General features: G+C 34.9%; 1 protein-coding gene across 4 annotated transcripts in view; it reads right to left on the reverse strand.

The window, feature by feature from the left end:
- COL5A2 (collagen type V alpha 2 chain) overlaps positions 1-24,680 on the reverse strand; it is a 409,214-nt gene that overhangs the window by 13,844 nt on the left and 370,690 nt on the right. For all 4 annotated transcript variants that reach the window (XM_047443252.1, XM_011510573.4, XM_047443251.1 and 1 more), the window contains 28 exons: positions 23,045-23,143; positions 22,485-22,529; positions 22,274-22,372; positions 20,988-21,041; positions 20,649-20,756; positions 19,263-19,316; positions 18,816-18,914; positions 18,239-18,292; positions 17,431-17,529; positions 17,269-17,322; positions 17,124-17,177; positions 15,821-15,874; positions 14,989-15,042; positions 13,108-13,152; positions 12,688-12,786; positions 11,579-11,686; positions 11,232-11,285; positions 8,418-8,471; positions 8,154-8,207; positions 7,683-7,736; positions 7,170-7,277; positions 7,008-7,061; positions 6,431-6,484; positions 5,579-5,740; positions 4,828-4,935; positions 3,606-3,713; positions 2,468-2,521; positions 59-166 (listed from right to left, as the gene is read on the reverse strand). In XM_047443252.1, the coding sequence (XP_047299208.1) occupies positions 59-166; positions 2,468-2,521; positions 3,606-3,713; positions 4,828-4,935; positions 5,579-5,740; positions 6,431-6,484; positions 7,008-7,061; positions 7,170-7,277; positions 7,683-7,736; positions 8,154-8,207; positions 8,418-8,471; positions 11,232-11,285; positions 11,579-11,686; positions 12,688-12,786; positions 13,108-13,152; positions 14,989-15,042; positions 15,821-15,874; positions 17,124-17,177; positions 17,269-17,322; positions 17,431-17,529; positions 18,239-18,292; positions 18,816-18,914; positions 19,263-19,316; positions 20,649-20,756; positions 20,988-21,041; positions 22,274-22,372; positions 22,485-22,529; positions 23,045-23,143 (2,151 nt within the window). The remainder of the gene's footprint in view (positions 1-58; positions 167-2,467; positions 2,522-3,605; positions 3,714-4,827; positions 4,936-5,578; positions 5,741-6,430; positions 6,485-7,007; positions 7,062-7,169; positions 7,278-7,682; positions 7,737-8,153; positions 8,208-8,417; positions 8,472-11,231; positions 11,286-11,578; positions 11,687-12,687; positions 12,787-13,107; positions 13,153-14,988; positions 15,043-15,820; positions 15,875-17,123; positions 17,178-17,268; positions 17,323-17,430; positions 17,530-18,238; positions 18,293-18,815; positions 18,915-19,262; positions 19,317-20,648; positions 20,757-20,987; positions 21,042-22,273; positions 22,373-22,484; positions 22,530-23,044; positions 23,144-24,680) is intronic.

Raw genomic sequence — 24,680 nt, forward strand, 5'->3', positions numbered from 1 at the left:
TTATAACATAGCATATGGGTGTGCAAAACTGTCAGTGTGAAATTGACTCCCTCCTTACCGGATCTCCTCTTTGTCCTGCATCTCCTGGAGCACCCACAGGGCCAGGAGTTCCAGGGGCACCCTGAGAGCCTGGCAGACCTGCAGGCCCAGGGTCTCCACGATCACCCTAACAAGAATAACCATGATATTATTTTTTAACATTTATTCTAAAACAACAATATTCCATATGTTCATGTTATTCTTATAGTATTAATAATGGGAAAAAATACCCTTTAAAACTTATTTTTACTTATTATTTTAACTATTTTACTTATATTTATTAATTAATAAATCAAATTGAAAAGAATAAAGTTATTTCTTCCTAATTTCAAGTCTCATCCTTTCCCTCACCTACTCCCTATTGCTCGCACGTCAAGATCATTGGAGTATAGGAGTGATCACCTCCAGAATTTAACATGTTTTCTAGAGCACCAATCTTTAAGCTGGAATATTGGTATACTTGGAATACACAAAGACTTTCCAAAGACTGTGAAAACAAAGAAAATTTTAAGGAAACCACCTTCTAGATTTTCCTCTCCTTATGTATTCTTTCAGAAAACTATATTTTGATTATCCTTCCTTACTTCCCCTAAATAATCCACCTTCTCTCATTTTGTAAAAGAAAAGCAGAAATCATACCATCTGCAATCTTATTATGATGCAATGTCCCAAGGAATAAATACCTCTAGGCACTGAACTAAGGGACTTTTCCAGAATGCATAGTTTACTTGAGTATAAAGCTACGAAGGATTTGGAAAATAAAGAGGCTCCTTTTTATTTTATCCAGATGACACAATTATGACAAGGCTCCAAATATTACTTGTCTCCTTAAGAAGTCAGAGGTGAGATAAGCGTTATATGAACATGTCTAAACATAAATATTTGACTTGAAAAATTGAGTCAGACTGTATTTTCTGACAAAAAATTGTCTTATTTGACTGATAAATTTATCAACCTAGATAAACTTTGGCAATTAGGTTATAGAACAGACACATAATACATTGAATAAGCTGAATTGGCAACTTCAAGGTTTTGAAAAAAAAAAAAAAATACTTGCCCGGGCACAGTGGCTCACAAAGTGGGCTGTAATCCCAGCACTTTGGGAGGCCAAGGCGGCCGGATCATGAGGTCAAGAGATCGAGACCATCCTGGCCAACGTGGTGAAACCCAGTCTCTATTAAAAATACAAAAATTAGCTGGGTGTGGTGGCACATGCCTGCAGTCCCAGCTACTGGGGAGGCTGAGGCAGGAGAATCACTTGAACCCAGGAGGTAGAGGTTGCAGCGAGACGAGATCGTGTCACTGCACTCCAGCCTGGCAACAGAGCAAGACTCTGTCTCAAAAAAAAAAAAAAAAATACTTAAAGCACTTGTACATTTAGAATTTACCAGGAATCACCTCCTTTGCAACTATTTAAACTTGTGATTTTAAAAGGGCGATGGCAACTTAAAATAAGTAGAGAGATTTACCGATTTTCATAATTACTTCAGCAAAACCTTTGAAGATGGTTGCACTATATAGTATATATTGACAAAGGAAAAAGCCCAAGTTGCCAAGAGAATTTGCAGTCTGTGGATTATAGTAGATGAGCGGGACTTAGCCCAAGCTTCCTCCAAATCCTTTCTTCCCCTTTTTTTTCAATATGAGGTTGAGTGTCTATCCTGTAGTGGAGTGTTTAAACATGTCATTTAATATACAAATGCCCAATGGCATATGTATTAATTATATTTAAAGCATTTGAAAATGGAGGTTCAGAAAATCTGCTTAAGATTACACAGCTAATTACTTAGGGAAACAATATTCCAAATCAAGTCTGACTGGCTCCAAAGCCCATTCTGCTACATGATGAGCTTTAATTACATCATAACAGACTTTGGAGTGGGGAGTGATTTTGCCTTCAGTGGCCCATCTCAGCAGCATGAGATGACTGTGCAACTGCCAGAAGGGACTGGGGCTTCAGAGAAAGTTGGGGACATGTTCAGTTCAGCACATTCTAATTTAAAACACATCATGGAATATACAGTGTTTAAAAAGCCACATGGCTTATATTCTCATACGGCATTCACTTTAGATGGTGAATGGAAAAATTTAGACATTACACAGCACTATTTTGGCTTTCATGCTTTTGTTAATGAGTTTAAAATTTAGAACACTTCATATATATCCTCATCCAAAGCCTTTATGTTAAACCAAAGATGGCTTCAATTTTATCTTCCTGCTCTGAAAAAATACCATCTTAATTTGTTGCATATTCAAATATCATTTCATTTACAAGATATAAAAATTATGGCTTTACAGAAACAGTTGTTATTCAGAAAAATCAGAAGTGTATTGGAACTATCAGGAAAAATGACAGTTTTTAGTGTAAATTAAAAAGATTTCAGATTTGCATGACTTTAGATTTTATAATAAGTGAAATGGCTCTTACACGTTCTCCAACAGCACCATCCCGTCCTGGGGTACCATCATTGCCAGCTGGACCCTATAAAGAATAATGGTTTGAAAAACTACTTAACTGAGTAATGAAAAAAATCCTCATTCCAATTGTCAAAAAATGACAGCATGTTTTACACCTGTGTTTTATAAACTGTCAGTTAGCATTTATGCAAATGTCAGCAGAAGAACGGTTTCTACCTCTTTTTCATTATTTTGAATTACTGTAAAATTAACATATTCTTACTTAATCCATATTCTTCATTTATATTTCTTATTTTGAAAAACAAAAAACCCACAAATATTTTGAAATAGATAACAATTACATTCTTGCCACTTTATGTTTTGCTTGTATTAACAATGAAAGGCTTTTCTTACATTTACTTCTTAAGATTATTCAAATATCCTTAAAGTTTTGAAATAAAATAACTGTTTCAATATTAAACTACTTTAAGAAATAGTCTTCCTTTTCTATTTTATTGTGATTTTTTTCATAAATATGTCTTTGCTATTTGATCAAAAATTGTTCCAAAGGCTATTGATTCTTTCTTTCAATAAAATGTTACATTAACTGTTTGATGATTCACTCCTTAAAATCCTGAACAGAGGATATTCCAGCCTTTAACTTCTCAAATTGCCTATCAAAAACTGATTTCCTCCCAAAAGTGCCTAAAGGAACATGATATCCATTATGTTACTTTATAGTGATATTTAAGTAAAATGATCTCTACTAACTTTGCCCTTTTCACAAGCTGGAATAGCTATATTAATCCTATCACCAAAAAACTTGGCAATTTTGATAAATATGTCATTACAAAATGAAATAATAACAAGGGAAAGATGAATGGATGTGTCCTTTCACCCTCAAAACAGTTTGGCAACAGCTTAAATGAACTAAAATACTTAGCTCCAGACTAGATGAAGGTCAGTGCAAAGACACCGATCCTATTACCTTTTCTTTATGTCATCACTTAGCCAACTCTCTAGGGAAGTAGAGTACATCAAATAACATTACTAAGAAACTTTCTTAAGGTCAAATATGCAATAAAATTCTAAATCAATTGCTAAATGAAAAAAATTGTTTCCATGACACCAGATAACAAGAGAAGAGTTATTTTCACTGTAGTACTCACTTCTGGTCCAGGTTCCCCTACAGGACCATTGGAGCCTGGGGGCCCCACAGGTCCAGGTGGACCTTTATCTCCTGTTGCACCAGTTGGTCCTACTTTTCCTGGTGTTCCCTGAAATAGAAGTATAAATGTCAAACACTTGTGAAGAAATTGAAGAACGCTAGTTCCCATAAAGGCTAAGTTTTCAAAATGGTGCCTCTGGGCTCCTTCTATAATAATAATTTTGCATTATCTTACAACACTCATGTAATCATAATGCTTTCTTAGAGGCCTGCCCACCTCCTATCAGACTCCTCTTGACGTATCTAAGGGACCAAAAACCAACCATCTGTTGCCACCAGCACAGGTGTGCATTTTGGGTTCTAATCATGTGTACCATAGGTGATTCTAGCTGCCCTTCTGGAATTTGCATCACTTTCATCCTTTTTCCCCGCTCTGCTTTGTCTGTTCATTTTATTTCTATATTCTGATACTTTGATCTCACTCTTGAGAGATTTTACTTTCACATTCTTGGCTCACTTCTGATAACAATAAGACATCCCTTAGCTCCTACTTTGTTGGTTTCATATTTCAACCCACATGTCTCCCAGTTCTAAGATCCCATACATCTCTCTGTCTACATTCCATATGAAAACATCATTAATTTTTTTCAAGCACTGTAATCTTTTAGCAATAAAATTTAGTCTCTTCAAAGCTAACTTTGAATCAAACTTTTATCCATACTCCAGGGAATATAAAATCCTAAAGCACCCTCCAGGGAACAGGAGATTACCTTCAGATCCTTCTTCAGCATTCCCCCTACATTCACCTCAAATATTACTTTAGCTCAACTATGTCTTCCCTTTGATGGTTTACTGTAAAATATGGTATTTTTGTTAAGCATGTTTACTTAAAAAGACACTACCTATTCACCAGAAGATTATCCCCCTCCTCTAGCTCCGGGATCTTTTTAATCTTTGAAGAAGGATTTAAAGGTCACCAAAAATCCATATCCTTATTTGCCTACTTTTCTAGTCTCAGGGTTAAACAAATATATATTTTCAAAGACTTTGTAAGGTAGTTAAGAATTTGACATTTAAGATCAAAAGATTTTTAAGAGACTCAAAAATTAATGTCCCTACAATACTGTTTAAATCTATTCATCAAGCAAAAAAAATAAAATCAATTCTCTAAACAATTTGTATTGCACATATGAGATAAAATATTGACCGATGCAGCTACTCACCGCTGGGCCTGGTAGGCCGGGCATGCCTCTCTCTCCACGTTGCCCAGGCATGCCAACAATTCCTCTCTGCCCGGTCGTTCCAGCTGGACCAGGGGGGCCATCTGGACCCTAATGTTGAGGACAAACTAAAATCAGAAACTATCCAGGGTAAAACTGTACCCAAGGAATTTACAATAAGTTGGGTACAGCTTTACAGGTTTTTCAGTATGAAAAAGAAGTTCTCTGTTTCTCAAAATCATACTGCATATGAGTAGTCATAAATTGTAATCCGCACAGAACCTCTAACATTATTTAAAGGTGAAAACAGCTCATCCGTTGGAAAGAAACTGAAGATTAATGTGAATACTGACTCAATAAAAGAGGTAACTTCAGAGAAATATTTTTTCTTCTTTATAAAAAGACAAAAAGAAAGTTTAACAATAAGGAAAAAAGAGTTATCTAAACACAATATTTAAAGGCATTTGCATATAAAATATAATATACATATATTTTTAAAGTTATTCATACACAATGAACATTTAACAAATAATTTTTTTGGGTTTAGTTTTTAGATACCATATCTATTACTGCTATTTTTAAAATCTATATATATACACGTTTTTCCTAAAGCCTTATAGATTTAATGCACTTTAAAAATTTTAGGAATGTGCCCAGCATAATATTTAAGCATTTTTGTGACACTGATCATTATGGGTTTCTATTTGTAAATATCTCAGTTGAAGGTGGTCTGGAACGGATACGCCAAACTTACAGGTTGCCCATCTTCTCCTGGGTCCCCTTTGTCTCCTGGGCCACCAGGGGGGCCAGCTGGTCCTCGATCTCCCACACGCCCATGAGAGCCAGGGTCCCCACGAAGACCTGGAGGTCCCTCCTTCCCGGGTTCCCCTAGGGGTCCCGCAGGTCCTGGAGCTCCCTAGTATAACAAAGAAAGAAACACCAAGGAGGGCAAAATGGAAGGCAAGTAAGAGTGATTGACATAACGCTGTCTGCCTCAGATGCAGATGTCCAAGCCTCGCAGGTTCATTTTACCTGTTAGATAATCAGTCATTCTATAGGATTTAAACAAAACAAAACAAAAGAAAACACAGCTGTAGATTCATTCCCCAGGGGGAAAACTAAATATCATTTGCAGTCAATTCCCTTTGAATAATTTTTAAAGAGTGGTGCAACTAACTTGAATTTTCAAACTTATTTAAAGCTCCACTCCAATGATGAATATATAATACTTTATTCTGAGATAATTATTTATTCTTATGATTTGATCTTATAATGAATGACATTTATTAAAGAAAGTTTCATAGTTGCATCTTAACTGAAGAGAATGATTATTAGCACATAATACTGTAAGTATTCAGTATTTAAACGGAATAATAATAAAACATTGGGGCTAAAAAGAACTTGCAAATTAGCTCCTCCAAGAAATACTAGATTATTAAGGATGATTTGCTTTGCTGAAATACCAGCATGCATTATTGGAATAAGAGTTGTTAAATAAGAAAACATACCATTAAGAAATTAAATAAAATAATAAATTTAACTCAAATGTATACGTGTGTGTGTAATTATTTCATTATCAGTGACTTGTCTCACTAAGTTGACTTACAGCAGGGCCTGGAGGTCCAACTCTGCCCGCAGAACCAGGAAATCCTGTAGCACCCTAGAACCAGAATATCATATAAGCAATTTTTAAGGTAATATAAATTAGTTACATGTATTTTCCTGGGATTTTTTTTCACAGGAAGACTGAAGCCTTTAGATTTCCTTTCATGTTGTAAGCAATATTTTTTTTTCTTCGTACGAATCCCATATTTTGGGGAATTAATCTAGATTAACTGGTAGGAAGGGCACTATTTTCCTTTTTCCATGCAGGTAGTACTAGAATCACATTGATATTTTATACAATCAAATTAAATAAAGTGCTTTCACATTGTTTATTTACTCTTTTATATAGGTAGTATGTTACTTACATTACAGGTGAGGCACCTGGGTCTCCAAGATTACAAACTTGATTTTAACCCAAATCTCCATCTGAGTTAAGTGCCCTTTGCACTATAGTACAGTTGATACAGGTAATAATTTGTTATTTCAGTCTCAGATGAAAATTATCTTTTACATGACCAGGAAGCACTAGGTAACTAGAATTAGCTGTGCATACTTTGCAGAGCATCAAATAAACTTACAGGCGGACCTTGGGTTCCTCGACCACCTTTTAGTCCAGGAACACCATTAGGACCCTGAATAGAAACAAACAAAAGAGCACTATAGTGAAGCAAAAGAGGCTGAATGTACACTCCAAACATGGGGCACTTGACTCAAGTTATGCCTTTTTCTTGTTAACTTACATGAGGGCCAGGGGATCCTGCTAAACCTTGTGGTCCAGGAGAACCAGCATCTCCCTTCTGTCCTGGCTCTCCAGGTTCACCTTTTACTCCAGGCTGTCCGTCAGGACCCTATAAAAAATTATACAAACAAGCAATTGATTATAAGACTTATAGACAAATTACTTTAGAGTAATTATTACTAATGTATCAATTAATCATATATTGTGAAACAGTGCTTTATAATCAGTATTAAAGCATACTAAAGGAAAAAAAGTACTCTGATGAGATCTTTCAAAACAGCCTAAAAAATAAGCTATCCCACTGCATTTTTATTTTAACAAATAATTATAGAAGCTCAACTAGCACAAACAAGTTTTGTGCCAGTCTATAAAAAAATGTATTGAAAATGAGAATATTGTCTAGAAAACTGTAAATTTTCCAGAATACGACTTCAAAACATATGACAATGATCATTAAACTTATTATAACAAGATAAGTGTTTATTTGTAAATTAGGGATATTTGAAAATTATACCTGGGGTCCGGCAAAACCAACAGCTCCAGTTGGCCCATTTTCACCTCGAGAACCCTAGGAGGAGACAAAGATTACTGTAGCTTTCACACATTATCCTAAACAGGAACAGTATTTTAAAATATGATCATATAAATCTGATAGTTAGACATGTAAATATAGAAAAATTACACATATTGCTTAAGGAAGGTCCTTAAGGATTATATAAAGATATAGGTCATAGAACAAAATTCCCAAGGTCAGAAGTCTCAAAGGAGCCTCCAAATTAGTTAGTAAACAAGCTGCCTAACTACACTTAATAGATTGTATAGCAGATAATTTTTAAGTTTAATTAGAAAAGCAAAAGCTAAAAACCAGGAAGTTATACATAACCTAAAACCAATAAGCATTGTTTTATATAAATATAAAAACAAAATGATTAATTGTTTTATTGCTCAATCTCACACTAAAGAACACCAAAATACTGTCACTTACAGGATTGCCCCGGGAGCCAGGAGGGCCAACTAAACCTCGAGGACCAGGTTCACCCTAGAAAGCAGATTTTAGATGGTTACTGTCCAAAACAGTAGCTAAACATAATTTTAGGACATTGGTCACTGTGTAGGAGGAGATAGTGGAAAAGAACTCTGAAATGATCTTGCTCAGATACCATATGTTATAAAATGAAAAGATTTATGAAAGAGCCTGCTATTCAGGACTCATAATTTTGAGTGTACAAATTAACAACTTGTGACTTACCTTTTCTCCAGTAGGACCTGCCGGACCTGGAGGGCCCAAAGGACCTGGAAGACCCTGTCAATTAACAGAACATAGGCATATTGAGGTAAAAAATGCACAGAAATCTTCATGCTTAGCAAATCAACAAACAAAAAAGAAACGACTATTTTGTTATAATTTGGCTGCCTTTGCAAATCATTATCTATAATAAATGATATAATCTATATATTTTCAAGAGTTTTCTGTCTAGTTTAATACCATTTCCACCATATTTTCTCCACACAGTGTTTTAATCTCTTTCATGCAACCTAATTCATGCATACATAAAACTGTTTTCAGGCATTAGCACTACATTAATGCTAAGCTACAAAAATGTTTCTATTTCTTAGCATAATTAGCTTTGCTAATATTTATTCGGACATTTGACCACAAATTGAAAAGAGGCTTTCCTTCTTTTGCATATAATATTATATTCTTAAATTATAATAGCAAAATATCACTTTTTTACTTTTAAAAATTGAAATTGTGTTAAGGCATTTTAGGTGTTTTTTCCTTTTTTTTTTTTTTTTTTTTTGGCACAGGGTCTCCACTCTACATTGCCCAGAATGGAGTGCAGTAGCCATTCACAGATGTGATCACAGCACATGCATCTTTGAACGCTTGCCCTGGATCACGTGATCCTCCCATCTCAGACTCCAGAGTAACTGAGACTACAGGCACAAGCCACTATGCCTGACTTAGTTTTCTTCATTTTTTTTTTTTTTGAGACGGAGTCTCGCTCTGTCGCCTAGGCTGGAGTGCAGTGGCACCATCTCGGCTCACTGCAAGCTCCGCCTCCCGGGTTTGCGCCATTCTCCTACCTCAGCCTCCCAAGTAGCTGGGATTGCAAGCGTCTGTCACCACCACACCCGGCTAATTTTTTGTATTTTTAGTAGAGACGGGGTTTCACCATAGCCAGGGTGGTCTTGATCTCCTGCCCTCATGATCCGCCCACCTCAGCCTCCCAAAGTGCTGGGATTACAGGCGTGAGCCATCGCGCCCAGCCAGTTTTCTTCATTCTTTTGAGATGAAAAGGAAAAGTAGCTAAAGTTTACAGCCTAAAACCCCAGCTACTTTGAGATTTATGGGCATAGGAGAGCTAACACTTAGAGGACAGTACAGCTAACACATGGGGACACAACCTGAGTCTTCTTGACAGGTAATCACAAACTTGAAACTGTGGGAATATTGAAGTCCTCTTTAAAACAAGTTCTCTATCTTATAACTGTGTCTTGCCTCTTCATATGCAGCCCAAATATTCTTTCATCGTTTAATTTCTGTATGTACAACTAAAGAAACTTAAGGAACAAAAATGACTTTAATTTTATAGATTTGACAAGAACATAAGAAATCTGTGTTCTTATAGTCTCTGGATCTACAATGGAATGATATCATTCCAATAATTTATGTAATATACTTCTTTAAAGGATTTGATGAAATATAAATATCACTTCATTACTTATGTTTATAGATTTTTTATACAGAGAAAACATGTTATTCATTTTTTCCCTACTATGAGATTGCAGTAAGTGCTTTGCTCTGCTTCTTTCCTGCAACAATGTAGTGTCCTCATTAAAAATAAAGCAGTCATTGCTTACATCCTGGTCCTATCACATTGCAATTTCAAAGTTAGTTCATAGGCACAATTGATATGTATTTTAGATTTTCCCTTAAAACAAACTGCCAATGCATCGTTCCTATAAATAGTACTGCACTACTTATGCATTCCAGGACATCCATGATGTAAAATATTAAAAATATGCCAGATTTACTTGACTATTTTTGAAATATTAAATTAAATATTAGATTTAACTAAAAGGCAAGGTGTATCTTTTGTGCATAATTTGTTAAAAGAAGTGGTGCATCCTTAATTAAATTTGCATAAAAAGGACTAATTACCCTTAAGATGAAAATTTTCTACTACATTTCACTATATTTCCTTAATCTAAAGCTATTATAACCAATGTATTAACAATGACTCAATGTGCAGAACCAAATAGCAGTTCTCTTTTATTATGTTACAACTGTAATTGCCAGGGCACACATGACAACTAACAGCAAACCATGTCATACTGAAACAGAAATCATTAGTCAAATATCAGGTACTATTCCAGAAAATGATGGATGTTTAAGCCATTGTGACTAGCCACTCTTACATGAGGAAATCATTTATGTCTGAAAATATATTGTCCTTCGAGTCTGATTGTCCTTGGAATTGTAAATGCATTCTAATTTCAAAGACCTAACGCTTGTTAAATGTCAATTTCTGACATGACATTAAACAATGCTTTGCAGTTGACCATCCTTCTGGACATTCTGCTTGTTCAAACTGTTTATTAATGATAACATTAATGACGATTCACTGTGCAGTAAATTTCTCACCCCAACATCCAATATACTGAGAAACATTTATCACAACTTTGGTGACTCCACAAAGCTCTACTTGTCTATGCTGGAATGAAGTATTGGCCAGCTCACTAGATTAGCATTTTAACAGAAATAAACCTTGTGTATGAAATAAAAAGATGATAGAGAAAGATAAAGAGGGCCCCCATCCCCTTAAGGCACTTATCTCATAGGCACAATAAATATGTTTTTATTTAAGTTTCATTTAATTCAGGGTAAGCAAAATGAATAAACCGTGGTTGAATCACAGCAGATCTCACATGCCATTATTCTCCAACTCCTGACTACCAAGGAAACATGACTGACTTTATTTTGGAAGGTTCAGGGAAACTCATATGATACTGTAATGTTGGTTCCTAGCCCAGCTAGAAAAGGAATACTTTCACTTACTCTTGCACCATCATTTCCAGCTGTGCCTTCAGCACCTTTTTCTCCTATGCCACCCTGGGAAAACACACAAAATACAATTGATTCATTTAATTGTCTCTTTCCCACACTTGTGTGTAAGTTTCATGAGAGTGAAGGCTAATTGTCATTTTCCTAGTCGTATCCAGGTGAGCCTGGGATGGTGCCTCACACTGTGCATTTTCTCAGTAAATGTTTATTAGAAGAATGAAAAATGAATGACTAGTGACTCAGGATGGTAGAAATAAAAGCCTGCTCAAGAAATCATTTCATTTTCAGCAGAAAGTCTGAATAAATGAACTGAAAAAAAAAAAAAAAAAAAAAGGACTTACTCTGTCACCCTTGGGGCCAGGAGTTCCTGCAATTCCTCTTTCTCCCGGCATACCTTGAAGACCTGGTGGGCCTGTATCTCCAGGGGTCCCAGATGGACCTGGACTGCCCTAAAATGAACCAACATTAAGTGACCATACCAATAATATTAAGATTAAACTAATGAAATTGCTTTTTAGTGGGTCAAAAGTAGTTGTCAGCAATTTCATGTAGTTCAACTTAGTGCTTATATTTTTCATCTGAGAAAGTTGTCTCTGAGTGAGTTGATATTTTGAAATTAAAAAAACCAGATTTTGTTTTTGATTGCTGCTTTATATTTTTAACTTTTCTCTTAAGAGGCAATTGAACGCTATTTCAAATAAAAAGGATAGAGTTGCCTTTTTTTCCCTCTGTTGGCAACATAATGGAATATATTAAGAAAGAAAGACATTACATTTAGAGAAATATTTCATTCTCTCTTTAATGAAACTGATATTTGATATTAACCTGGTTTTCAGGCTAATATAGTGTCTAAATTGTAGTAGACTGCATCAATCACTCTAAACCCTGAAAATAATAAGGGGTCTCATGTCACATGACCATGAAAAATTCTACTTCAATTGTTTATACTGAAGTTGGCCACATTATTTTCTACCAATCACTAAATGGCACACATTTCTGCCTTATGATGCATTATATTTTCAGATTTTAAAAGTTCCATATTTTCACATATGTAGTAAGCAGAATTGTGAAACCTGAGACAAGGAAAATGGAGCATATTATTAGAAAAGCCTCCTAATAAATTATGTAATTTTCTATTTCTTTCCTCTGTTTATTCATAGAAGCCACTAATAAAATGTACATAAACATTAGAAATGTGTTTGTATATGGAAGTCTATCACCATGTGCACTAAACTACAATCCCCATCAAAGAAGAGAGTCTTCTTTTTAGCTGACACTTTAGTTGCAAGGAAAAAGCCTAGTAAGCGCTCATTAAATATTTGTGGAAGAAGAAAATGATATAATCAAATTATCTTTCAAAAACAAGACAAATGCATTCTCACACCATCATGCGTTTATTAAGCAGTAATTTTAAAGCATTTTAAAACACTGAGATCACTATGACACTTACTTTTGGGCCATCAGGACCATGTCCTCCAGCCATTCCCTTCTCACCAGGGAGTCCAGTTATCCCAGGTTCTCCTCTTTCCCCAGGATTTCCTCGTTCTCCCTAGCACAAAATTGGGATGTCAAATAATCTCAATACTTGATCTAAAAATAGGTCAAAATGTTTCTGAGAAATGGCTTCTACTGCGGAAAAATTCAGAAATGAGACATTACTAAATCTCAATTTTCTAATTTAGTGATAAGAAATAAATTTGAAGTAAGGATATGCTAGTTTCATAGCACAAAATATTTCTCATAAAATTAATTTTTATCCAGTCAAAGAATTTATAGGTTAAAATAAATCCCAGTTTAAGATTTTAAAAGACACCTTTTAAAACTGAAGCCAGTGGGAAACAACATTAATCATGAAGATTAAAATACTTACTCTAGGTCCTAACGGGCCAACTGCTCCGGGATCTCCAGGAACACCCTATAAACACATTTTTTTTTTTTAATGGAACAAGAGCTTTGAGTTTAGGCATTTATCAGAAAACTTTCCAGTTCATACACCTAGTTTCTATTAATGTGCCATTAGAAGGCTGCATAAGCCAACAATTTAAAGAAAGAAAAGTACGTATATTTTTATAAATGAGGGAATATTACATGTTTTAGATGAAAACATTTTTCCAAAAAACTTTGTATTATACCTGAATGTTTGATTTTTGGCAATGAGAACATGCAAAGTACTATTTCACAAAGATAGAGCATTAGTTTTTTAGAGGCAACAAAATACATGCTAAATGTCTTTTTTTAAACTAATGGAAGATGAAAAAGTTTAAATAAAGAAAAGTTATATAAAAAGGGCTAAAGAGTTGGTCTTTTAAATAGAACCAATCCAATTCTACTCAATTAAGTAAATCTTTCTTGAGCCTATAATATGGACAAAGCACTCTACTAGGTATTGTGCATTCAAACCAGTGCAGTCATGTCTAAATTAAAAGTTTGTTTGTTCTTACATAAAAGAAAGTTTGTCAATTTGAAATTTCTTTCTTTGATAAAGATAACTTTATCAAATAGGCCTCCAATCTTATTCTCCGAAATGGACTGTCCTCACTGTGGCCTGATCTCCCTAATCTTATCATATTACTCCTTCCTTAAAAACCCTTCTTTTTTCTTTTCTGGTTTTTTTTTTTTTTTTTTTTTTTTTTGAGACGTTGTCTCGCTCTATCACCCAGGCTGGAGTACAATGGTGGCATGATCTTGGCTCACTGCAACCTCCACCTCCTGGATTAAAGTGATTCTCCTGCCTCAGCCTCCCAAGTAGCTGGGAATACAGGCATGTGCCACCATGCCCAGGTAATTTTTGTATTTTTAGTACAGACGGTTGGCCAGGCTGGTCTCGAACTCCTGATGCCAAGTGATTCACCTGCCTCAGTCTCCCAAAGTGCTGGGATTACAGGTGTGAGCCACTGTGCCCAGCCTAAAAACTCTTCCTTAGCTTCCCATTACTCTAATGATGAAGAACAAATTAGAATCAAATTAAAGCCCTCCATAATCAGGCCCCTGAGTCACCCTGCAGCCCCCTTTCTATTTTCCCCAAATTACATTACCCACTCTGATTTGTAAGCTTGTCTCATTTCCTGGAGGTTTTTCCTATCTTCCCTCCTTCATCATTATCATCATTCATCTCTCAGATCTCATAAAAGATATTACTTTGTCTGGAAAACCTTTCCTAAAACCCCCAAGTCTTATTTAGGTGCATCTTTTTTGTTTCCATAAACATAGTACCTCCCTTATTATAGCATTTAGAGCATGCTATTATTGTAATTGTCCTATACTCTCTGAATCCTACTATACTGTAAGGACAGCAAGGTCCAAATCCATTTTGTTCAGCTGGTTCAGGCCAGTGCTTTGTAGAGGCAAGCACACAGAGTGTTCAGCAAATATTTATTAAATGATTAAATGAACAAATGAATCATTCAAAGAAAAATAAATAAATCTATGAGCCAGGAAAACGACAGAATAAAATTGTTAGTATTTGTCCATAACTGTTTATATAAAGTGGTTAAGAACACATCTTGGGAAGCAGATGACCTGGGTTCAAATCTATTAACTGTGTGACTTTGGGAAAGTTATCTAACATCTGTATGCCCCATTTTCCTCATCTACAAAATGGAGATAATGATAGTACCTAGTACATAGGGCTGCTTTGAGAACTCAAAGAGATAATGTATGTAAAGGAAAGCACAACAGAGCCTCACACATAAAAAGTGATAATTGAGCCAGCAATGTATAGTGTTGCCATTATTATTATTTAAACACTTACTTGATCACCTGGTTTTCCACCTTCTCCAGGAGGCCCTGGAGGACCAGGAAGCCCCTAAAACAAAAGTAAGAAAATAAAATTGTGAATCTGTGTAAGTTTAACAGGCTACCAGTGTTAACAGTTTACCTTTTACAATTCATGGGGTCTCCAAGACTATATTTTCAATGAAAATATATTGTTCAGACATTTTAAGTAAAAAATATTGTTCAGAAGCATTAAAAAAAGACTACCAATAAAACACAACAGCTAGTCAATTTATAGGATTGTATTTTCATCTGCACACCACTTAGCAAAAAAAGAGATAATGTAACAGGAGCTTCTTCATATTTATAGAGTTTTTATGGCTCTGTGAACAATATTTTAGACTGCTAGAATATTATTTAAAGTCAGTCCAGAAAGTTTTTTTTACAAATTATGATCTTCCTCCTATTAAATAATGTACATACTGATATATGTAGATAAATTATGAAACTTTGTTCAATAAAAAATTCTAGTCACTGTGCCGATAAAACAAAATCAGCCTTAAAATGGTTTCATAAACTTTGTTGAGCTATCAGAAACATTTTATTCCTGATATCTTTTTATTACTTTTTTGTTATTTTTTATTTGTTTTGTTCATAATTTGCAGGTTTGATCAGTTTTTTTAGAAGCCCATTCCTTTACTTTGAACAAAAATGTTCGATTTTATCCAAATGTCTATACTATCTACTAAAAGAGGGATGACTTTTTGAAAATTGTAGAATTTCAAATCTTCTGACCATATCTTTTTTTTTAAAAAAAAAAAGCATTTTAGTTAATGGAAGATGAAATGGAAAACCGAATTAGTGCATACCTGAAAACCTGTGGGGCCTGGAGGTCCTTGTTCTCCTCTTTCACCAGCTAGACCCTAAGTTGTGAAGGAGAAAATAATTGTGAATATAACCAGATCTTTGTCTGCTTCCTCTCTACGTGAACCACTAGAAGTACTGATATTTATTTGTATTTCTTCCAATCACATGTTTTTCTCTTTAGCCAGGTAATAAACTAGTATTAATAGTAACCAAATGGTATTGTTTGAAGTCTCTGGAGGTGAGAAAATATCTTCTAAAGCCAGTAACTGATAACATGTATTTATTTTTTGATCCAAACTTAAATGTCTGGAGCCAATTGTAAACTTATGGGGAAATTGGATTGAATATAGGAAAACCCATTACTTTTGTATATGTAATCTAAAAACATAATATTTTTATTATAGTTTATTTCTGAATGTCTTAAGAATTATTTATCAAGACTTCAAAAACAGAATGACTAAAGAAAGCAAAGCTAACATTTTAGAAAGATTTAAACTGCCCCACCCCCCCAAAAAAATATGCCAAAATATTTCGGATAAACACTTCATTTGAAAGTCCTAAAATGAAAATAGACCTCAAAGAATAAGTATTATTCCTTTTATGTCCTAAAAAATACCTTAAATAATTTTTTTTTTTTTTTTGGAGATGGAGTCTTGCTCTGCCACCCAGGCTGGAGTGCAACGGTGTAATTTTGGTTCACTACAACCTCCGCCTCCCGGGTTCAAGTGATTCTCCTACCTCAGCCTCCTGAATAGCTAGGATTACAGGCACATGCCACCATGCCAGGCTAATTTTTGTATTTTTAATAGAGACAGGGTTTCACCATGTTGGCCAGGCTGGTCTTGAACTCCTGACCTCAGGTAATCCACCTACCCTGGCCTCCCTAAGTGCTGGGATTACAGGCGTGAGCCACCATGCCCGGCCTTACATAAATTTTTATAAGATGCATTATTGAGAGAAGGTAAATAATTGAGTATCTAAATATTTTAAATAAAATATTTTATAAAATATTTGTTACACACTGTTTTCTTCAGTTGATATAGTCCTTAACTGTGACATATAAAAACCTTTGCAGTCAGAGTTTTACAGAAGTTTAAAGTAAAAAGATCAATCATTATATTTAAAAAGGCAGAAGACATTATCTCACAGAAATCAAAAGAGAAGGTATAACAGAAATTCTTCATTCCCATACATTCTTATTCACTTTCCCTGAAACTTACCCATAAGTCTTGAACAAACATCATCGAAAAAATGCAATGTGTGTATATATATATTCTCACACACACACACACAAAAATCACATACCGGCGGGCCCACAGGACCAGAAGGACCAACTTCACCATCTTTTCCAGGAGCTCCCTAGTATCACACACAGATATTTGTGAGGTGAGTCTATGATAATTTAAATAGTACCTACATTATTTTTCTTTAGCAGAAAATGTATATTTACCCTCTGCCCAGGAACTCCAGCATTTCCTGCTTCTCCAGGTTTCCCAGGGTCACCCTAAAGAATAAATGAAACTTTTGTATAATTCCTTCAATTTGTCAAAAACATACCTCCTCCAAATGAGGATCATGATGAGGTGGCCAACATATTATACACTGTACTCACACTGCTACCTTTGGGGCCTGGAAGGCCCATGCTCCCGGGCTGCCCTCTGATTCCTATGGAGCCTGGAGGACCTGGACGGCCATCTTCCCCTGGCGCACCCTATAGAATTGACAGGAGCCATGTAAGTTTCATGTAAGTTGTTTCTAAACATAGCATCACCCAAAGTGTCACCTTTGCTTACTATCATGTTACATAAATTTTAAATTATCTTGCATTTTCATGTTAAAGAATCAGGACAGTTGAATGGGTTTTTTAAAAAACACTGAAGTATTTTAAGTAACTAGAAGAGAGATTTTATTCTTATTCTAGATATGAGCTTCCTCATGATGTCTCCTGACAGTCATATTAATAGGGGAAATCTTTCTTCTTTCATTTACTCTGGTTTGTGGTAATGAAAATTCAGGACTTCTATTTCACATTGCAGAACAAGGGAAGATCTTAGAATATATAAGTTGTCAAAATTCATACCTACTTATCTCTTAAACATATAAAATTAGAAGGATATAAAAATGAGAACATTGCTAATAGACAAATTTCACCAACATTAAAAACTATATCATTTTAACATTTTCACTGATGTCAGGCAGGGAAGCAATTCAATCTCAAATATTTATCTTAGTAAAAATTTGATCTACATTTTTGTCAACTTGAAAATAGATCCTAAGAATATGCTTCCAGAAGTTGGTACAAATATGTCAATATGACCAGCATCCATATAATCAAAAACATTAACCTAAATAAATATCATTTAAGTTGCATGTCTGTTGAAAAATATTAGTGGTTGTGGACTTCTGTTTAAATTACTTACCAAAGGTCCAAGTTTTCCTTCAGGACCTTGAACACCAGGATTTCCTGTCAAACCCTGAAAATAAAAAACCAACTGTCAGTTTGTTGCTGATATGCAGTTGAAGTAAAGATTCTTAAGAGTAAAAATAGTGTTGCATTTTTGTCAACTGAATAGAATGACATTTCTGTAAATCAAATAAATTTTTAAGTGATGTATTGTTAAAATTTTTCAGAATTTCTCTGCCAAAATTACTTTATTTGCTATATTGCTATAAAAGTATATTTACAAATATTTATAAATTCTTTACTTGCTAACAAGTTATAAAATTTGACAAACAGGATTTTTTTCTCATGCCAAGTGATAAAGCTATTAATACATACTGCTTTGAGAGAGACTAGAAGTTACCGTGTTTTCTATATATGATAAAAATAACAAACCAGTATTTTTTAAAATAATGAATTGGATCAAAACCATAAAAACAAAGAAATGTTCTAAACTGTAAAAACAAACTAAATTTAAAAACAAACAAAAACCCGACCAATGCATGCTCAGGAGCACTTCTCCCCTTTGATGTAGCAAACACTTGCTATATTCTTACCCGAGCACCTGGAAGCCCAGGTTCCCCTGGACGTCCTGGATCCCCCTGGCTTCCTTTGGGTCCTGAAGAACCTACAGGACCCCGTTCTCCTTGAGCACCCTGTACCGAGGCAAAGCAGATGCATGAAGAAAAAGAGTATAGAAAAACAAAAGCAAGCAGAAGTAAAATTATCGTTTTACAAATCAAGGCACTAATATAACATACAAATCAAGGCACTGATATAACGTATAAAATTTTGTCACCACATTCCGCCAACTAGCATCCTTCCCCCCTATGCCTCTTAATACAGGAATTACACAAGAGAGGATTGGGGTTAGGCCTGGTATTTGTATCCATCTCCTTTCTGGATCTGAGCCCATGCAGGCCATAGCTAGATCACCGTGCTGAAAAATGGCATCTTCTGGAGCACCCCCCACGTAAGTATCAACATTGACAGGGCAACCTCACCTTTGGCCCAGGTAAACCATCAGAGCCTGGAAAACCACGATTGCCAGGAGCACCCTACAAATGACCAAAATGTGATTCTTAATTGTTGTTGATATTTTTGCAATATGTAATGAATAGGTGATTTTTATTTTTAGCACTATAAAGTTTTAGGAGCCATCATCAAGCCAACATGGCTATAGATATGCATGAGAAAAATCTGACTCGATGGAAAAACTTTAAAATTTTGAAGAATATATAAGTACTGAGCCAAATAATTCCTCAAATCAAGAAATATTCTGCACTTTGGGAGGCCAAGGCAGGCAGATCACCTGAGGTCAGGAGTTCAAGACCAGCCTGGCCAACGTGGTGAAAACCTGTCTCTACTAAAAATACAAAAATTAGCTGGGTATAGTGGCAAGTGCCTGTATCCCAGCTACTCAAAAGGCTGAGGCACAAGAATTTCTTGAACCTTGGACGCAGAGGTTGCAGTGAGCCAAGATGGTGCCACTGCACTCCAGCCTGGACAACACAGCAAGACTATGTCAGAAAAAAAAAAGGAAGAAAGGAAGGAAGGAAGCAAGGAAATATTCTAACGATTCATAGTAAAATTAAACAGAGAAAACTGATATCTAGAGATGAGAGGCATAGGTACCATCTATAGCAATTAAAATGTCAACAATGACATGCATTAGTGACATTTTTGTGAAACGCTTTGCATTCTCCAAAGCTCTAGATAAATGTGAGATTACTGTTCTTCTTTTCAGACCTGTCTCACTGTGCTCCAGTCACAGCTACCTCTTCTGGTCTTTAAAATCACCAGGTCCTTTCTGCCCTCCCAGCTTTGCATTTGCTTTTTCCTCTGCTAAGAATGTTCTTCCTTCCAAGTTTTCTACTGGCTTATCATCATCTTCAGGTCTCAGCTAAAATGCTATCTTCTCAGAGGATCCTCTTTCCTAACCACCTAATCTAACATTACAACACTGACATATATGTGTAGTTACTCTCCAATGTGTCATGTCTTTACTTAGTGTGTGTATGGCATTTTTTAAAGTGTGTACATATATTTTTATTTACCCATTGACTTGTTTATTGTTTACCTCTCCACTAAAATAAACAACTATTTACTAGTCTCCACATGAGGACTAGGACCATAGCCTTCTTGTTCACTGATATAATTCCAAGCACAGATGGCTCAAATTGGCATAGACTAGTGATTTAACCAATATTAGTTGAATGTATGAATAATGATTAGTCAGTTGGCTCTTTCTATTTGCACATAACTGTACTGAACTGTGCAGGGAACCTGCAAGCATTTCTCTTAACTGTTCTAGTTTTCCTTACTGTTCTCAGACTTACACACATAATTCCCTCACAACTGTAAGAATGTGTTGTATTATTTAAATTTACCCTTTCTCCCACTGGCCCTGGAGGACCAACTGTTCCTGGGTCACCTCTGGGACCTCTTTTGCCTTCTTCACCGGGTGGGCCTATCGGACCCTGAATACCATGTGGCCCCTGTTAAAAACAGAAGGACAGTTACCAGAAAGACCCATCCAACCAGTGAATTATAGTTGGAAGCCTAATTTAACGAAGTCAGTCACAAATTTTAAAGTATATGGAACAATGAGATATTTTCATCTCAAGCTATTATAATTCTCATTATTATTTTAAACCCTTGAGCATTTTGAGCTGTACACTTCCAGACAATACTATGTTCTACTTATCATTAAAACAATGAAACCTTACTGGTTCCCCTTTTGGGCCAGCTTCTCCTTTGAAACCTGGAACTCCTGGATCACCCTGAAAAAAATATATTGATATTTGTAAGAACCAGGACATTTAGCTAGTCCAATCTGCTCAAATTAGTTACAATAAATAGGCTTTAAAAATTCTCTCCAGCTGAGTCGGTTTTGCATCAGTAGTATAATATAATCATTTTTAAATGAATGCATGTGAATATGTTAATATGTGTAAATTTTTATAAAATTCAGTATAATTTGGAAGCCATTTAATTTATAGTGGTCTTTAAGAGATTTATTTTTAAAATCATGTTTTTTATCATGTGTAGTAGAATAAATAGAATTATTGAGTTATTATTCAAATTTGAAAATTAAAATTGGAACTATCAATGACAATTTCTATAGATAAATACATTTAGGCTGTATTTTAGGATGTGAACTTGTTTACCCAGAATCAAAATAATTTTATATTTATGCCGTATTTATTGAGAATTTAGCAACTTCAAATAGGGCATTTCACTCTTGGAATGTTAGAGGGTTTTCTGTAGGTGTGTCTTTAAATACCAACTGAAATTTAAGTTGTAAGAACTGGATTGCAAAATTCAGAACTTGGTAAAATCAAATGTGACACTAGCAACACTAATGATTTAATAAATCTGTCACCAGCACTTTAAGAGAATTTATCAGCATGACCACATTACTTGGAACAGAATTGTAAATATTTATTTAAATATTTATTTTTATACATCAAGCTAAAAGCTATTAAGCACAACTTCTCAATGTGTTTATTTGTTATGGGTTCATCAAAATATTTTTTCTAATAAATAATTTCTGTAAAATATGAAAACATTCAATCTGACATTCAATCTGATTAATATATTTGAATCACTCTTTAACAATAACTCTGAAGAAATAGTTGTTGAACCCTAGCCTAATTGTCATTATAAATTCCTATTGAAGCTCCATATTCCTCACACTGGCTTGCATAATATTTTCATAATATTTATTATTCAATTATTCATAAAATTCTATGAGGTGAACCATAAAGTTATAACCTTATTATTTTAAATAAAAGAACACTAAAATTTAACATACTGCAATAATGTTCCACTTAGAATTTAAACATCTAAGTTGTACCTCAACATTTAGCTTTCACTTCACAAAGACTCCCATCTTCCCACATTTGGATAAGTCACGTTATCTATGTTTCATTGCATCACATGACATGTTATTACTCTTGGCCCTCGTAGTTAGATTACACTAAAGGATGATAGTTCTTTCAAAGGTCATTACCGGTTGGCCTCGAATTCCCTGAGGACCAGTGCTACCCTGAGGTCCTGGAGATCCAGGAGGCCCTGCTGAGCCAGGAGGACCAGAGGTACCTGGAGAGCCCTATTAAACAGCAAGAGTGATGTGGTAAGTAGAGACACAGGTAGCAGTCTGGGGCCAATGTCTAAAGAATCATGCCCATTTGAGCTTCACATGCCATAAATGCAGTACTCACCGTTGGGCCTTTGGCACCAGGAGTACCATCAGTTCCTATTGCACCCTAAAAGGTACATTAAAAGTATGTAATGAAATATTAAGCAATATATAGATACAAATGTGCTAGTATACAGATGTCCAGCCATCTTCAAAAAGGAAGTAGAAGCATTTTTTAAAAATCAACCACCATTATATCATAAAAATTACTTTTTTGACTACTTCTCCTTTACATAAAATAGGTAAAACTTACAGAGTTGACAAGGGAAATATATTTTTTCACAGTTGTAAGCACTCATTCAGAATTCAGAGAATATATTAAATTTTATATTTCAAAATAGCTAGAAAAAGAGGACTTAAAATGTTCCCAACACATAGAAGTGATATATGCTCAATGGGATGGATATCTTAAATACCCTGACTTGATTATTACACATCTTAGGCATATAACAGAACATTACAGGTACCCCCTAAATATGTACAAATATTATGTATCAATTAAAAAAATAGGTTGAATTTGTTCTGATGTTACAAGAAATGTCCAGCTTTCTGGGCTGGTTCTTAAATATGCTAGAAACTTACAGGAAGACCTGGAGAGCCAACTGGACCTGGGGGCCCAGTTTCACCTCTCTGCCCCTGAGGACCTTCAGGGCCTCGCGCCCCTGTAGGACCTGCTTCTCCCTAAAAGGGTGCAAAGGGAAATGTTAATTTAAGAAAAATACGAGAGTGGCATTGTACAAAGTTGACCGCTTATTTGGAATTTTACATTTGAAACCCAAATACTGAAAGAGGCCAAAGAGGATTACAAGAGATGCGTGCCCAACCAAGCTTAAGGAGCGCACTCACTTTCCCACTTCCTTCTTAAGGGATGACGCTGGTGGCCTCTTCACTAGGAATATTCTCCATATCCAATCTCCAGTTGAAGAAGCCCTACACCAGGGTTAGCTTAAGTTCCCTCTCCTCTGAACCTCCACAAAATCTGAGATTTTTCTTCCCACACCTATCAGAATTTACACTTATTACATATTAAACAGTTTAGATAATCTAAGTTCATAAAGAAAAACTAGAAACAGCCCTACACCTCAGGCACACTGAGTCTACTCAAAGAATAAGATAGTCTTAAATATCTTTTATTTAAGATATTTATCAAAGAATAGATATTCTTAAATCCACATGGTTTACTTTTAGTATGTTCTTACATAAATACTCAGGTTATTCAAGCCCATTTCTGTATAAACAGTGTATACATTCGGACTCTTTAACACAAATCAAATGAAGGAGAAAAACTGACCAACCCACTGTGCTTAAAGAGGTTGTTTCTGTTCAATGTAAAGCTAGATATTTCAAGTCTAAAAATTTACTACAAAATTAAAGCTTCATGCAATCATCAGAGGATAAATCATATTATTTTCCAATATTTATAAAACAACCTAATATCAGCTAAAATGTGCTGCAAGATTAGACAATAGTTTTCCAAATCTGTGAAACTCACTGTAAAAAGTCTATATAAAATTTCATACCATCATTACAGAACAATAAATTGTTTCCTTGCTATATAAGCAATATAACAAATCATATTTCAGAATATAAGATTTGAGTTGTAAAAACTCAGTTCCACCGACCTTCAAGAAAGCATTTATCAGTAAAGTGAAAAACATCTGGGCTACAACTTTATTTAAGTCTAATCAACTTAATTTTTGGCAGCATTATAAGCAAAATACCATCTATTTTTAAACCAAAGAAACAATACTTCTTTGATAAGAATTAAAAGATACTTTTTAAAGTGCAACATTAAGAGCAGAGTGAAGTGGTTAAGGTAACTTAATAGCTCCCTTTATTTCAAGCCAAGATAGTGAGTCCAGCTGGCAAATAAAAATGCCTAGTTGAGTTTTCATTCATATAAACAACAATAACTTTTAGCATAAGTTTTTCCCATGCAATATTTGAGGCATACTTATACTAAACATGTATTCTTTGCTCATCTGAAATTCAAACTTAACTTGGTTTCTGTATTTTATCTGGCTTATTATGTACCTATGTGGATCTAATCCTAAAGAGGCCTGGAAAACTAAAATTCTAAGCCTTAGGAATCTCATCAGTATCAGTAAAGCATATTGAATCTCTGTTTCACTTCATTGAAATGCAAAGAACTGGATTTGGAAATTTATTCTTTAGTCAGAGAGCAGAGACCATGGCAGAACTTTGTAGGAAAAGCAGG

The sequence above is a fragment of the Homo sapiens genome, chromosome 2, assembly GCF_000001405.40.
Source record: "Homo sapiens chromosome 2, GRCh38.p14 Primary Assembly".
NCBI classification, from domain to species: Eukaryota; Metazoa; Chordata; class Mammalia; order Primates; family Hominidae; genus Homo; species Homo sapiens.